Source organism: Homo sapiens, chromosome 7 (genome assembly GCF_000001405.40).
Source record: "Homo sapiens chromosome 7, GRCh38.p14 Primary Assembly".
Taxonomy (NCBI): Eukaryota; Metazoa; Chordata; class Mammalia; order Primates; family Hominidae; genus Homo; species Homo sapiens.
In genome coordinates this window covers 6577454-6592445 of record NC_000007.14, presented here as the reverse complement: position 1 = coordinate 6592445, position 14992 = coordinate 6577454, and the positions used below count along the sequence as shown (strand labels likewise).

Here is a 14992-nt window from a genome sequence, read left to right as displayed (position 1 = left end):
ACAGGCGCGTGCTACCACGCCTGGCTAATTTCTGTATTTTCAGTAGAGACAGGGTTTCACCATGTTGGCCAGGCTGGTCTCAAACTCCTGACCTCAAGTGATCTGCCCCCCTTCGGCCTCCCAAAGTGCTGGGATTACAGGAGTGAACCACTAAGCATGGCCAAAAAAAATAATTTAAACAAACAAACAAAAAACACTCCAGAAATCTAATTAAATGAGAATTCCGAACAGCAAAATCATCTTCAGAGACTCTCAGGGGAGACTCTTTTTTTTTTGAGACGGAGTCTTGCTCTGTCACCCAGGCTGGAGTGCAATGGCACCATCTCAGCTCACTGCAACCTCTGCCTCCCGGGTTCATGTGATTCTCCTGCCTCAGCCTCCTGAGTAGCTGGGGTTACAGGTATGCAACACCATGCCCGGCTAATTTTGTATTTTTAGTAGAGACATGATTTCGCCATGTTGGTCAGGCTGGTCTTGAACCCCTGACCTCAAGTGATCCGCCCACCTCAGCTTCCCAAAGTGCTGGGATTACAGGCATGAGCCACCGCACCCGGCCGAGGGTCTCTCTTGAGCAGTACCTGAAGCCAGGAGGCAGCACACTCCAACACCGGGATTCGACACACAGCCACCGCCATGGAGACCAGTTTTCCCAACAAGCTCATCCGGCTGTCATCGGCTTTGTTCCCTTGAGGGCTGAAAAGGGATGAAAAAATAATCTGCCGAACAGAGTCCTTGGTTTGCTCCTGGAAATAATTGCACATGATTTCAAGAAGTTGAAGCTCCTGAAGGGAATTCAGTCTCTGCAAAAGAAATCCCGGAAAAGCGTTAAGAAATGTGGCTGTAACGTACTTATTAACTCATACATTAAGAAAACAGGAAATAGACTGGGCGCGGTGGCTCATGCCTGTAATCCCAGCACTTTGGGAGGCCAAGGTGGGCGAATCACGAGGTCAAGAGTTCGAGACCAGCCTGGCCAACATGGTGAAACCCCATCTCTACTAAAAATACAACAATTAGCCGGCATGGTGGCGCGCACCTGTAATCCCAGCTACTCGGGAGGCTTAGGCAGGAATCTCGCTTGAACCTGGGAGGCGGAGGTTGCAGTGAGCCGAGATCGCACCACTGCACTCCAGCCTGGTGACAGAGTGAGACTCCGTCTCAAAAAAAAAAAAAAAAAGAAAAACAGGAAATAACAGTATTTTCCCGTAGAACTTTTCGCCCTTCGTAAAGTTCCCGTAGAACTTTTCGCCCTTCGTAAAGCTCAGGTCTCAGGGAGATCTTTGCTGTTGATCTTAGAAAAAAGTCATATAGGCCAGGCGTTGTGGCTCACGCCTGTAATTCCAACACTTTGGAGGCCAAGGAGAGAGAATCTTGAGCCCAGGAGTTTGAGACCAGCCTGGGTAACACAGGGAGGCCCCATCTCTACAAAACATTCAAAAATTAGCTGGGCATGGTGGTGCACGCCTGGAGTCCCAGCTACTCAGAAGGATGAGGCGGGAGGATTACTTGAGCCCAGGAGTTCAAGGTTGTAGTGAGCTGTGATTGCACCACTGCACTCCTGCCTGGGCAACGTAGTGAAACCTTGTCTCGAAAAAAAAAAAGGCAGAGAAAGAAAAAAAAAAGAAAAAGATGTAAGAAGAAAGCCATACAGATCATTATACATCCTCCTGGAGGGTTCAGGATGAGCCTTTCGGTAACAGCCCAACAGACCTCTAGGGAGCGGGCAGTCGCCAGTTTGTCCCTTTAACACCAAGACTCGGCTGTCACACGCCCCGCAGACTGGACAGGCAGCTGAGCAACACTGCAGGACCCGGAGAAGGGTTTGGGGGCTGCTGCAGGAGCGAGGCCGAGCGCGAGCGCGGGGATCCTGGACATGGGGCGCCCGCGGCTTGACACAGCCCTGCATCGCTGGGGAAAAGGCCCGCCCGCCCGCCTGCGGGGCCCGGGAACCCGACCGTCTCAGGCCGCACCTTGGGCTGCGCGCTGCGCTCCTTGGGCACCTGGAACACGAACTCCTCCAGCAGCTCCACGGGGCCCTTGTCCACGATGGGCAGCGGCGCGCTCTGCAGCTGGCTGCTGAAGTAGATGTCCAGGTGGTACAACACCTCCTTGGCGGCGCTCAGCGCATCGCGGCGCAGCAGCGAGTGGCGGATGTCGCTCATGGTGCGGCCGCCGCGGCCCCCGCGCCGAGCGCGTCTCACTTCCGCCCGGGGCCCGGGACTGCGCCGCTACCCGTGGAAACAAAGAGGCGCGACCCGGGCCTGGGCTGCGGCACCCGCCCGCTTGCCCGCCTGCCGCCGCCTGCTCCCTGCCTGCTCAGGGGGCCATCGCTGCTGCCGCCGGCCAGCAGGCGCCCGAAGGTCCGACTGCGGCGCCGCCAGGAGCCGCCGGGAGCTGCCGCCGCGCAGCCGAACAGCGGCCGAATGCCGGGCACGGAGACGGCGGCCCGCAGGGGCCAAGCGCAGGCCGCGGCCTAGGCGCGCTCTCCGGAGGGCGCCCCCTGGCGGCGCGAGCGGTGAGGGGCGCGCCGCGGTCCCAGGTGGACCCCGCCCCCGGAGCCCGCCCAACCGCCGGTGCAGGCCCGCTCCGTCCTTGCCCAGGCTCCCTCGCGGGCTGTGCGTCGCGTTCAGAGCTGCCGCTGGTTGATTTCACGGTGCTTTCCACCAGCAAGAATTGGGGGTGGTGCCGGGCTTTGGCTTCGGCCAGCGGACTTGGGTTCCCTGGCCGCCCCAGCTACCCGTCTTCACGTTTCCATCTGTTCTCAGCTGGGGGGTACGGGGGAAGATGGCTGGAAGGCCCCCTGCCCCTGACTCCCACTTCCCAGCCTCTCTGACTGCGGGCTCCTTGGCCTAGCAAGGTGCAGAACACCTGCCACCTGCACCTGAGAGCCCTCCCACTCCAAAGACCTTCCGCACCAAGACCTCGTTTCTGGCAGTCATGTCTCCTCTGAAATAGGTGGCAGTTCACTTTCACAATTTTTAAACTGGTGAGAAAGGACTTGAATGTGGCTAGAGGAGGGCAGGCCGGAGGCCACACATGCAGGAAGGTGCCTGATGTACAAGCCCATACTGGCCGGAAGGCAGGCCTGGGTGAGGACACTCTGTTGTTGAGATGAAAATCCCCTGGGGGAGAGAGGAGAATAGAGGGGGCATAAAAGAGAGCACAGCCAGGCACAACGCGCAGGCGCTGAGTCAATGAGACCCTCCTGCACATCACACAGGTCAGAGACACGGCCGCAAGCCCCTCCTGTCCACATGCCCAGAGTTTAGAGACACCAAGGTCTCAGCATCACCTAGAACCTCTGAGAAGTCATCTCTTGATCCCCTTGACACCAGGACTTCAGAGATGCCCGGTTTCAAAAGAAGACAAGCAAGGGGGATTCCTCAGTCAACACCCATTTTCCCCTCTCTCCCTTGCCCACCGAAAGTGATTTATAAGCACAGCAGAAATCAAAACAAACAAGCCATGCTTGGAAAACGAGGATCCACATGTGTAAATAAACGGGAACTACAGCTCAAAGGCAGTCATACACTTGTCATTCTTGTTTCTTCCTCTCATGACATGGAAAGGCAGGTAGAAAGATCTCTTGAAGGTTGCTCCGAAGCCCATGGGAGTGAATGTTCCGGTGGACTTGGGGCTCTGCTGACGGAGGCCAGGCCACAAGGGGACAACGCTGGCACCAGGCCCAGTCACCTCTGTACCACTCGTTAGTAGTCTGGTTGGTGGCCGCCAGATACAGGACAAACAACAGGTAGCCACCCAGGAGGAAGCTCAGAACCACGACAAAGCCCAGCATGAAGACAATCCGTGGAAAAGTCAGGAACAGGTACTAGGAGCAGAGAAAAGGTAGTGCTTTAGGCAGCTGGACTGTGACATCCATGAGAGTGAACACTGGCCAACCCTGGGCCTGCCACAGCCACCAGCGCTGCTTCCTCAGCCCACCTACTTGTGTCCAGATGTGACAAACTGAACATAAACAGCACTGAGAAGCAGCCCAGAATAATCCCAGTACATACAAGAGTTTCCTGTGGGATGAATGAAGTGTTCACACTGAAGGAAAAGGGAAAGTTTACTTAGGAAATGTGCTATTCCAGTTAGCTATTTATAAAATAAATGCAGACTTCATTCATCAATATAAAATCCAGATGGACAAAAGAGATCAATGTCTTTCTTAAAACAATACAACCCCAAAAATAGATGTACAAGGATATTCGTTGTATCATTGATTTTATCAGCCCCTCTTCCGAAGTTTTTTTCCTTTTCTTAATAAATAGAAACAGGGGCCGGGCGCAATGGCTCACGCCTATAATCCCAGCATTTTGGGAGGCCGAGGCGGGCAGATCACTTGAGGTCAGGAGTTTGACACCAGCCTGGCCAACATGGTGAAACCCTTCTCTACTAAAAATACAAAAGTTAGCCGGGTGTGGTGGCACAAGCCTGTAATCCCAGCTACTCAAGAGGCTGAGGCAGAAGAATTGCTTCAACCCGGGCGGTGAAGGTTACAGTGAGCTGAGATTGTGCAACTGCACTCCAGCCTAGGCGACAGAGCAAGACTCCATCTAAAAATAAATAAATAAATAAATAAATCAATAGAAACAGGGTCTTGCTATGTTGCCCAGGCTGCTTTCAAACTCCTGGCCTTGAGTGATCCTCCTGCCTTGACCTCCCAAATTGTTGGGATTACAGGCGTGAGCCACTGTGCCTGGCCAAGAAACAAGTTAAATGTCCATCCGTCAGGAAGGGTAAACTCTGGGATGGTCACACAATGGGAAAACGAGGAGCCATGAAAAATGATGTCAATTTCTATGTACTGATTGTGAAAAGACTTAATATATTGACTAATGAGAAAGGCAAGATGTAAGGATTACACTGTCATCTTGTTTGGGTAAAAACAAAACTGACTCCGTAAATGGTATATGACCATAGGAACTGCGCTGCTTAAAGTTTTGTAAGTTATTTTTGTAATAAGCAAAATGAAGAATTTAGAAAGTTTAATATTTTTGAAAGTCACAAGAAAAGAGAACATTTAACAAAACTCCTGATGGAGGAGACTTTCTTGTTGAAGTTACAAAGAAAAGAAATTTGATGAGAAAGAATGTCTGAACTTTTCTATACCAAAAAACCCCAAAAAACCCAAAACCCCATTCCCAAGATCCAAAAGATCCACAAACAAAAAAACAGTATAACAAAAGATTAACCGTCATTATTATATAAAGACCTCAAATCAAAAGTGATTCTGGGCCAGTCATGGTGGCTCACACCTGTAATCCCAGCACTTTGGGAGGCCAAGGTGGGAGCATTTGAGCCCAGGAGGTCCAGGTCATAGTGAGCTGTGATGGTACCACTGCACTCCAGCCTAGGTGACAGAGTGAGACTCTGTCTCAAAAAAAAAAAAAAGTTACCATATGACCCAGCAGTGCCACTTCTAGGTGGAATGTACCCAAGAGAAATATAAACATAAAACATAAAAACATAAACATAAAACATGTTTTATAAACATAAAAACCTATGTCCACACAAAAAACTTGTACATGAATGTTCACAGCAGTATTACTCAAAAATAGCCAAAAGTGAAAACACCAAAATGTCCATCAACTGATGAACAAATAATTAAAATTCAGTCTATCCATACAGCGGAATACTATTCAGCCATAAAAAAGAATGAAGTAAGGCCGGGCACGGGGTTTCATGCCTGTAATCCCAGCACTTTGGGAGGCCGAGGCGGGTGGATCACTTGAGGTCAGGAGTTCAAGACCAGCCTGGCCAACATGGTAAAACCCCTTCTCTGCTAAAATTACAAAAATTAGCCAGGCGTGGTGGCTCATGCCTGTAATCCCAGCTACACGGGAGACTGAGGCAGGAGAATTGCTTGAACCTGAGAGGCAGAGGTTGCAGTGAGCCAAGATCACACCATTGCACTCCAGCCTGGGCAACAAGAGCGAGACTCCATCCCAAATAAACAAAAGGAATGAAGTAGATTCGTGCTACATGAATTAACCCTGAAAACCTTGTGCCACAAGAAAGAAGCCAGTGGAAAAGACCATATATTGCATGATTCCATTTATATGAAGTGTCCAGAAAAGGCCTATCCCGAAAGACAGAAAGTAGATTAGTGATTACCTGGGTCTGGGGGAGGAGGGAATGGGGAGTGTTTCCTTTTGGGGATGATGAAATGTTCTGAAATTAGATAGTAGTGAGGGCTGAACAAGTCTGTGAATATACTTATACCACTGTGGGATACTTTAAAGGGTGAATTTTATGATATGTGAATTTTTTTTTTTTTTGAGATGGAGTTTCTCTCTTTCGCTCTTGTTGCCCAGGCTGGAGTGCAATGGCACGATCTTGGCTCACTGCAACCTCCGCCTCCCAGGTTCAAGTGATTCTCCTGCCTCGGCCTCCCGAGTAGCTGGGACTACAGATGCTGGCCACCATGCCTGGCTAACTTTTTTGTATTTTTAGTAGAGACGAGGTTTTACCACATTGGCCAGGCTGGTCTTGAACTCCTGACCTCAGGTGATCCACCCACCTTGGCCTCCCAAAGTGCTGGGATTACAGCTGTGAGCCACCATGCCTGGCCCAATATGTGAATTTTATATCAGTTTAGAAAAAGGAAAAACTTCACGTTTGTTTGTTAGTTTCTGAGACAGGGTCTTGCTCTGTCACCCAGGCTGGAGTGCAGTGGTGCAATCTCAGCTCACTGCAACCTCTCCCTCCCGGGTTCAAGCAATTTTTGTGCCTCAGCCTCCCAAGTAGCTAGAACAATGGGCATGTGCCACCACACCCAGCTAATTTTTTTGTATTTTAGTAGAGATGGGGTTTCACCATGTTGCCCAGGCTGGTCTCAAGCTCCTGAGCTCAGGCAATCTGCTTGTCTTAGCTTCTCAAAGTGCTAGGATTACAGGCATGAGCCACTGCACCCGGCCCTGGCTCATTTTTGTATTTTTTGTAGAGACAAGGTCTCTACAGGAGACCAGTTATTCAATCATCAGTTGATGGACATTTGGGTGTTGCCCAGGCTGGTCCTGAACTCCTAGCCTCATGCGATCCTCCCACCTCGGCCTCCAAAAGTGCTGGGATTATAGGCGTGAGCCACCACACCCCACCTAACTTCATGCTTTTACTGGAAAAATAAATGTCTTTTTTGCGATTCTGAAACTTGAAGTCAGAAACCTACAGCATAATTACCTGAATAAGAAAGACCGTGTCCATAACATGGAGGTGTCCAAGGTCATCGATGTAAGTCTCCTGGTATAAATCTGACATCACCACCAAGTGGACCAGAAAAGTGGTGCTCACAATGGCGACGGTGGCAGCCGAGGCCGTCAAGGTCAAGACGTAGATGAGGAAGTACCTGATGTTCCAGGCCCCGATGCAGTTGTTCACCCAAACACAGTGATGGTCGAAACGGTGCACACACCAGTTACACACACCTGCACAGAAACAAGGGGGCACGTGCTGGGATGGTGCTTGACGAGACAAGGACACCGCACACCTGCTGAGATTTTCATAATCTGTCCACTGGATGTGTCATCAGAGGAAAATGGCAGCTGCTTAGTTCCAAACTAAGCTTTTGGAACTGTGGTGTCCAGTACAGGAGCAACCAGCCAAATGTGGGTATTGAGCACTTGCAATCTGACTACAAGACAAATCTGAGGTGGTGGCGGCATGCACCCATGGTCCCAGCTACTCAGAGGCTAGGCGGGAGGATCACTTGAGCACAGGAGGTCAACGCTGCAGTGAGCTATGATCACGTCACAGCACTCCAGCCTGGGTAATGGAGTGAGACCCTATCTCAAAAAACAAACCAAAAAACAGAGAGGACATTTTGTCAATACTGACAAATTTACAGTTGTCTTTTTACTACAATACTCCTTTGAATTCAGTGTGAATATGGAGGCAACACAAGAGTTAGTTAATTTACTTGACTTGGATAGACATAGTTTTAAAACTGGTGTTCCTGCTTTAAAGTCAATTCTTCTGATTAAGATGAATCATTATGTCAATGTAGACATGGATGGTGAAGGAAAATTATTTTTTTGGTACCGAATTCAGATATTGGAAAACTTTTAAGAATATCTGGATATAGCTTGCACATGTAAGCCTACTTTTTCAACTGTACATTTTATTAAATCTAAATACACAAGCATTTCCACATGAAAATTTAGTGTCCAAATCAAGATGTGCTATAAATGTAAGATACACACCAGATTTCAAAGGCTTAGTATGAAAAAAAGAATATAAACTATCTCATGAAGAATTTTTTACATTGATTACATGTTAAAATGATATTTTACATATGTAGGTTAAATAACATCCTGATTAAAACTGTCTCCAAGCACAGCCACATTTTGAAAAACATTTTTAAAAACTTTCTATTCATGGCCTTTTTTTTTTTTTCTGAGACAGGGTCTTGCTCTGTTGCTGAGGCTGGAGTGCAGTGGTTTAATCATAGCTTACTGCAGCCTCGATCTCCTGGGCTCAAGTGATCCTCCCGCCTCAGCCTCCTGAGTAGCCAGGACTACATCTTTTGTATTTTTTGTAGAGGTGGGGTTTCCCCATGGTGCCCAAGCTGGTCTTGAACTCCTAGGCTCAAGAGATCTGCCTGCCTCCCAAAGTACTGGAATTCCTGGCATGAACCGCTGCGCCCAGCCACATTCTATTTTTGTTAGACAGCACGGGTCTAGAATCTTGGGCCCTCCCCAGAAGACTAGGCTTTGTAGGACTGAAATCTGCAAACACAACATCCGCAGAAACAACTTGTGGGGAGCATGTCCTGCCACGTGGCGAGGGAAGGGCTGTTATGCCCAGAGATGAGGACTGTCTACTACACAGGAACACAAGACCTGACCCTCACTCATCTGAAAGAAACCATTATCTCAACTCTACAAGTAGTGGCCACACCATATCTGGGGGTGAACTGGCTCTGCTTTCGGATTCAGGAAACATTCCCTCACAGACGAAGCCCACACATGTGCTGTTGGAGGTGCCGCTGGAGTCACGAGAGCCACACTCACTGCAGTGCTTGGATCGAGCTGGTTTCCTTAAATCACAAGTAGAGCACCTCACGTTCTTTGGAAACATCACTTCATCAAATTCATAAACATGAAGAAATAATAATTCATTTGCTTTTGTTATAATGCCTGGGAAAAGTAAGGACATATGTCAGTTTCGTGCAATACTTTGGACTGGATAGTCACAAAACCCGTCCTGATAAAACACAACTGAAACTGCTATCTTTAATATCGTAAGTAATTCTTTTTTTTTTTTTGAGACAGTCTTACTTTGTCATCCAGGCTGGAATGCAGTGGCATGATCTTGGCTCACTGCAACCTCTGCCTCTCAGGTTCAGGTGATTCTCCCACGTAAGCCTCCTGAGTAGTAGCTGGGATTACAGGCGTGCTAATGCACGCGTGGCTAATTTTTGTATTTTTTTTGTTAATACAGATGGGGTTTCACCATTTTGGCCAGGCTGGTCTGGAACTCCGGACCTCAGGTGATCCTCCCACCTAGACCTCCCAAACAGGCTGAGATTGTGTGAGCCACCGCGCCCAGCCACGCAATTCATTTTTAATAATGGCTTTATTGAGATATAACACACAAACCTAATTCACTCATTTAAAGTGTACAATTCTGCCAGTGCGGTGGCTCACGCCTGTAGTCTCAGCACTTTGGGAGGCTGAGGTGGGTGGATCACGAGGTCAGGAGTTCGAGACCAGCCTGGACAACATGGCGAAACCCCATCTCTACTAAAAATACAAAAATCAGCTGGGTGTGGTGGCGCACGCCTGTAGTCCTAGCTACTCGGGAGTCTGAGGCAAGAGAATCCCTTGAACCCGGGAGGCGGAGGTTGCAGCGAGCTGAGATCGCCTCACTGCACTGCAGCCTGGGCGACAAAGCGTGACTCCGTCTTAAGAAACAAAAAAAGGAACAGTACCATACCGATCACATGCTCTATATATGACAAAACGAAGTGAAAGCATTAAAAAGATAAACTAAAAATTTTAAGTGGTTTTAAATAACCCATGGGTTGAAGAAGAAAAAAAAAATTAGAAAACACTCAAAACTGAAAGGTAATGAAAATGCTACACATCAAATCTTTTACAAAGTCCTCAGGGGGGGCCTCTCCTTGTTTGCAGCACTATTAGTAAGACAGTGGAGCTGTCACCATGCTGTATGCTAAGAGCCTCAACTTACCAGGATTGGTTCCACAAGTCAGGGTGAAAAAAAACAGGTTTACACCTAGCAGCAGATAGGGCAGAAGAAGGTAATGCAAGGACAACTCCAGCTCCTGACAGTAGCCAAATACTTCCCAGGTGTACTCAGTATAAACCATCCCTTGCAAGACCAGGTGCAGGACAATGAAGGTGTGGTTTCTGAAAGAAAACAGGCATGGCTTGTTCATGGGGGTTTCTTCTTGAAGAAATTGTATGATACTAAAGAAAGTAACCAACGGCCAACCACTTCCTTTGGGCTTGAGATAATAGTAAGAATTACATAGAAAACTATGTGAAACATTTTGCATGTATTTAACAGAAATTCACAATCTGTAAATATCGCTTTTTAAAAGTAGGCAAGTTAAAACCTCCATCTCAAAAGGCAGATTAACTACGAGTAGAGGCTCCCAACTCAGGACTCGTGATTCTTTCCGGCCTTCTTTCCCTCACCATGCTGGAAACCACAAGGAGCTTCCTGAAGCTAGAGGATCTCAACAATTAATAATCAAAGCAGAAAAGAGGAGAATATTTAAACTCTGAAAGAGAAATACCTCGTATGGAAAAGGTAATGAAGCAATCCATGCACGGCTCTCTGAAGACATTCTGGAATTATACAGGAAAATATCTGAAACAAAAGGAAAGAGAAAGACTCAATTTCATTTCTCACTTCCTCCACTCCCAAACAAATCAGACACTCCACATACAGCTGGCAATCTGGGTGATAGTAAGTTTTGTTTCCCTATATGGGTGAAGAAGTGATTTAGCAGAGAATAAAGAGGGGAATTCTTTCTACTGGTCTTTCCTTTCACGCCAACTCCATTTCTAGTCTGATTCTGACGAAGGCACCTGTCAGTGTCTTCAGGGAAAGAGAGGTGAGCAGAGGGGATGGGTCGGGGAATGTCAATGTGAAGGCCGCTCCTTCCCCAGCCTGGGTTCAATCCCAGGTTCCAGCATCCACACCCAGATCACTGGGCATTGGCCCAGGTCCCTCCCAACTCAATGCCTTCCCATAGGCTGCTTGCCCCGTTTTGCTCACTTTGATCCCTGAAGGAGGGGGGCCAGCCAATGCTGAGCTTTCTGCTGGCCCCCAGAGTCACCCATTAAGTGCCCCAGGCGGACCCTGCTCACATCCATGCCCAATCACAGGCATCTAATCCAGAGGAAAACAGCAACCTCTTCTCTCAAAGCACCACCGCAAGAGGACTTTCAGCAGGAACACAAAACCCACACAGACAGAGGCTGTGGAATATCCCACAACTGCCATCAACGAACTAAATCCATCAATGATGTTAAGTGGCATCTTTTTTGTTGTTGTTGAGACAGGGTCTCACTCTGTAGTCCAGGCTGGAGTGCAGTGGCGTGATCATAGCTCATGGCAACTTCAGACTCCTGGCTCAAGGGATCCTCCTGCCTCAGCTTCCTGAGTAGCGGGATTACAGGTGTGAGGCACTGCACCCGGCCTGGCATCTCTTTTTTGTCCTGTAGCAAAACCTGTGAGTCTCTTAGACTAACACAGTATTCAAATTCCAGTGCCATCCAAGGATCATCCTTACCTGTGCTCCTCCCCTGGCCAGGCCTTTCAAGCTATGGGTTTTCGAGCAGACGCAGATAAGAACAAGACCCATCAGCACCGAAGCCAGGTAGAACAAGAAGAGGACCAGAAAGTCCATCCTGCAGCTACAAAGGAACAGAAAGAGTGTGACTATCTGCTACTGAAAGGTTTCTTCCATGGCACACATTCTCAGACATCAACTCCCAAATGGCTACCAAAACAGAATTCATCTAGACTTTAATGACATCTCAAAGCAAAAAGCAGAAAGACAAACAGAACAGAATTCACCAATTCTTAGGCACACATAACAGAGGCCTGCTGCCTCTCAGTGGGGCCTCCAAAATGGTCCTGAGCTCCCTCAATCAAGATAAAAATTCTGGGCCAGGTGCAGTGGCTCATGCCTGTAATCCCAGCACTCTGGGAAGCAGAGGTGGGTGGATCGCTTGAGCTCAGGAGTTCGAGACCAGCCTGGGCAACATAGTGAGGCCCTGTCTCAATTTAATAAAATAAAAAATAAAAAAAGAAAGATAAACTTTTTTTTTTTGAGACAGAGTTTCACTCTTGTTACCCAGGTTGCAGTGCGGTGGCGTGATCTTGGCTCACTGCAACCTCCGCCTCCCAGGTTCAAGCAATTCTCCTGCCTCAGCCTCCTGAGTAGCTGGGATTATAGGCACGCACCCCATGCCTGGCTAATTTTTGTATTTTTAGTAGAGATGAGGTTTCACCATGTTGGCCAGGCTGGTCTCGAACTCTTGAACTCAGGTGATCCACCTGCCTCGGCCTCCCAAAGTGCTGGGAGTACAGGCGTGAGCCACTGCACCTGCCCAAGATAAAAACTTTGAATCTAACACCCTAAGACTGTGGCCTGCCTTTGAAGCATCTCCAACTTGCAAATCCAAAATAAACCAAGAAAGAACATGCATCCTCCTTCCTTGCCCCCAGGCATGAATCATTCTTTTACTTCCTTAAATATTCACAAAGATACAAGATGTGTCCCCAAAGAATCTGCTGACAATGCCTTGAGAACAAGCATCTCCTAGAGGCAGTCAGGAGCCCTGCACCCAGAATCAGGCATCCTGTCCTAAGAAGCATCCCTCCAGGACACTGGCCACAACCATCAGGAATTACCCTCTGGAACCAGAGTCAACACACAGGCCTGCGTTAAAATACTGGATACTGAGGCCGAGCGTGGTGGCTCATGCCTGTAATCCCAACACTTTGGCATGTCGAGGCAGGCGGATCACGAGGTCAGGAGTTCGAGACCAGTCTGGCCAACATGGTGTAATCCCCATCTATACTAAAAACACAAAAATTAACCGGGCGTGGTGGCACATGCCTGTAATCCCAGCGACTCAGGGGGTGGAGGCAGGAGAATCTCTTGAACCCAGGAAGCGGAGGTTGCAGTGAGCCGAGATCGCGCCACTGCACTCCAGCCTGGGCAACAGAGCGAGACTCCGTTTCAAAAAAAAAAAAAGAAAAGACACTGGATACTGGAACTCTTTTCCATAGTGTAGCGGTTTAAGAAAAAAAAAGAAGAAAAAAAAGGTACTGGAATTGGCCGGCCGTAGTGGCTCGTGCCTGTACTCCCAGCACTTTGGAAGGCTGAGGTGGGAGGATCACTTGAACCCAGGAGTTCAAGACCAGCCTGGGCAACAAAGCGAGACCCCCATCTCTACAAAAAATACAAAAATTAGCCAAGTGTGGTTGCGCATGCCTGTGGAGGCTGAGGCGGGAGGATTGCTTGAGCACAGGAGTTCAAGCCTGGGCGACAGCATGAGACCCTGTCTCAAAAACAAACCAAAAAAGATACCGGAACTGGTCACTTTTGACCTTAGCAGATAAGATTCTGGGCTGTAATGCCAAGTGAGATAACCAAACAAGAAGCTATTCATGACATGATAGGTGAGAGTAAACAAACAGCAGCAATTCTCACGGGGTGATTCAGGGTACCCAGCCTACATTTCTCTTGGTTGGGTAATTTTCAGCCGGCAGCTCTGGCATTCCTCTTCCCAACATTCACAGATAATTCAAACAGCAGCTCCTCTTGGGCAGCAGTGTGTGCCTGGCATGACCAGTAGCTGCCGGACATGGTTCTTCCAGGAGCCTGGATCTGGCTGCAGAGACAGATCAATTCAACACCCACATAAGACGACAAGAGTTGCAGTCAAAGGCAGAATACCTGTGGAAAAGGATTTGGAAGTAGGGGATTTTCAGCACCCCCAGCATGAATGGGTAAGACTTTGGGAGAAATGGCCCAGACTAAGTTGCTTAGGCCTGCTCCCAAATCTTTGGGAGGCCCAGGCAGGAGGATAGCTTGAGGTTAAGAGTTCGAGACCAGCCTGGGCAACACAGTGAGATCACTGTCCCTACATAAAAATTTAAAAATCAGTGGGGCGTGGTGGCCCGCGCCTGTGGTCCCAGCTACTTGGGAGGCTGAGGTGGAAGGATGGCTTGAGCCCAGGAGGTCGAGGCTGCAGTGAGCTGTGATCGTGCCACTGCCTTCCAGCCTGGGCCATAGAGCTGGACCCCATCTCTAAAAACAATAAAAGAGGCCGGGCGCGGTGGCTCACGCCTATAATCCCAGCACTTTGGGAGGCCGAGGCGGGTAGAACACCTGAGGTCAGGAGTTCGAGACCAGCCTGACCAACATGGTGAAATCCGTCTCTACTAAATACAAAAAAAATTAGCTGGGCGTGATGGCGCATGCCTGTAATCCAAGCTACTGGGGAGGCTGAGGCAGAATTGCTTGAATCCGGGAGGCGGAGGGTGCAGTAAGCCGAGATCGCGCCACTGCACTACAGCCTGGGAAACAAGAGCGAAACCCCGTCTCAAAATACAATAATAATAAAGACTTTGTGAGAAACAGCTAGTTGGGAAGAAATAAGCCAAGTCGGTAGCCTTGGGTCTCTCCCCGCCACTCCCCATTAGGGCCTCCCGAAGCCACCCCCATCCAAGGCACCTCCTGGGCGGGCCTGGTCGGAGATTTCCCTGGGGGCTGGAGCCCTGGTAGGGGGACGTGGAGTGCAGCAGGCTCGGAGGGGACACCGGGGCCGCCCCGGACTCGGGCGAGGTGGGGGTGGGACGGCGGCCCTACACACAAGGGGAAAGGGAGGGTCAGAGGAGGAGACTGACGGTCCTGGGACAGCCCAAGCTTCCCACAGCCCCGCGGAGGCGGCCTTACCGCCAGCCGCTGGGCTCCGGCGCCTCCCGGGCGCGATACGAGACT

General features: G+C 49.2%; 2 protein-coding genes and 1 long non-coding RNA gene across 27 annotated transcripts in view, besides 6 other annotated features; 1 reads left to right on the top strand and 2 right to left on the bottom strand.

Moving 5' to 3' along the window:
- INTS15 (integrator complex subunit 15) overlaps window positions 1–2425 on the bottom strand; it is an 18706-nt gene extending 16281 nt beyond the window's left edge. For 5 of the 7 annotated variants that reach the window (XR_926946.4, XM_011515518.4, XM_005249845.6 and 2 more), the window contains exons 1-2: window positions 1971–2425; window positions 579–800 (exon numbers count right to left, since the gene is read on the bottom strand). Coding sequence is in view for 6 of the 7 variants with exons in the window: in XM_011515518.4 (XP_011513820.2) it covers window positions 579–800; window positions 1971–2162 (414 nt within the window). In the remaining variant the exon portion in view is untranslated. The remainder of the gene's footprint in view (window positions 1–578; window positions 801–1970) is intronic. The other 2 variants (NM_001303039.2, XM_017012614.3) reach the window with 2 other exon arrangements.
- Window positions 2101–2600: a silencer, noted in NCBI's record as "silent region_17954". NCBI's record gives its function as "represses an Ori minimal core promoter by ATAC-STARR-seq in GM12878 lymphoblastoid cells {active_cell/tissue: GM12878}" and the evidence as "EXISTENCE:reporter gene assay evidence [ECO:0000049][PMID:35858748]".
- Window positions 2101–3283: a biological region, named in NCBI's record as "H3K27ac-H3K4me1 hESC enhancer GRCh37_chr7:6628794-6629632".
- Window positions 2445–3283: an enhancer, noted in NCBI's record as "H3K27ac-H3K4me1 hESC enhancer chr7:6628794-6629632 (GRCh37/hg19 assembly coordinates)". NCBI's record gives its function as "activates a minimal SCP1, AML or CMV promoter by ChIP-STARR-seq in naive H9 embryonic stem cells {active_cell/tissue: H9 hESC(naive)}" and the evidence as "EXISTENCE:reporter gene assay evidence [ECO:0000049][PMID:30033119]".
- LOC124901582 (uncharacterized) lies at window positions 2542–3523 on the top strand. The gene is made up of 2 exons (XR_007060201.1): window positions 2542–2986; window positions 3221–3523. It is a non-coding gene; the product is annotated as an uncharacterized LOC124901582 (long non-coding RNA).
- Window positions 2671–2820: an enhancer, noted in NCBI's record as "active region_25631". NCBI's record gives its function as "activates an Ori minimal core promoter by ATAC-STARR-seq in GM12878 lymphoblastoid cells {active_cell/tissue: GM12878}" and the evidence as "EXISTENCE:reporter gene assay evidence [ECO:0000049][PMID:35858748]".
- On the bottom strand, window positions 3072–14992 carry ZDHHC4 (zDHHC palmitoyltransferase 4). Of its 19 annotated transcripts, none has more exons than XM_047420565.1 (9): window positions 14948–14992; window positions 14726–14856; window positions 13700–13945; window positions 11768–11891; window positions 10766–10839; window positions 10195–10373; window positions 9015–9140; window positions 7186–7430; window positions 3072–3829 (listed from the first exon to the last, which is right to left on the bottom strand). In XM_047420565.1, exons 4-9 carry the CDS (start codon window positions 11882–11884, stop codon window positions 3536–3538), a joined length of 1035 nt encoding a protein of 344 aa, XP_047276521.1. In that variant the 5' UTR covers window positions 11885–11891; window positions 13700–13945; window positions 14726–14856; window positions 14948–14992; the 3' UTR covers window positions 3072–3535. The 19 variants fall into 19 exon arrangements, 17 of the variants coding, with proteins under 17 accessions (XP_047276521.1, XP_047276520.1, NP_001127860.1 ...); XM_047420564.1 differs by having other exon boundaries at window positions 13700–13880; NM_001134388.2 differs by having other exon boundaries at window positions 13726–13880.
- Window positions 13749–14364: an enhancer, noted in NCBI's record as "NANOG-H3K27ac-H3K4me1 hESC enhancer chr7:6617713-6618328 (GRCh37/hg19 assembly coordinates)". NCBI's record gives its function as "activates a minimal SCP1, AML or CMV promoter by ChIP-STARR-seq in primed H9 embryonic stem cells {active_cell/tissue: H9 hESC(primed)}" and the evidence as "EXISTENCE:reporter gene assay evidence [ECO:0000049][PMID:30033119]".
- Window positions 14643–14972: a silencer, noted in NCBI's record as "silent region_17953". NCBI's record gives its function as "represses an Ori minimal core promoter by ATAC-STARR-seq in GM12878 lymphoblastoid cells {active_cell/tissue: GM12878}" and the evidence as "EXISTENCE:reporter gene assay evidence [ECO:0000049][PMID:35858748]".

What these genes read in the sequence shown, in the direction of transcription:
- ZDHHC4 (NM_001371292.1), bottom strand. Translation starts at nt 11,884, where the DNA reads ATGGACTTTCTGGTCCTCTTCTTGTTCTACCTGGCTTCGGTGCTGATG. An exon ending in TGGCCAGGGGAGGAGCACAG is followed by an intron (nt 10,840 to 11,767) that starts GTAAGGATGATC and finishes CTTTTGTTTCAG; the next exon opens with ATATTTTCCTGTATAATTCC. An exon ending in CGGCACCTCCAACAGCACAT is followed by an intron (nt 7,431 to 8,969) that starts GTGTGGGCTTCG and finishes GTTTCTGTGCAG; the next exon opens with GTGTGTGTAACTGGTGTGTG.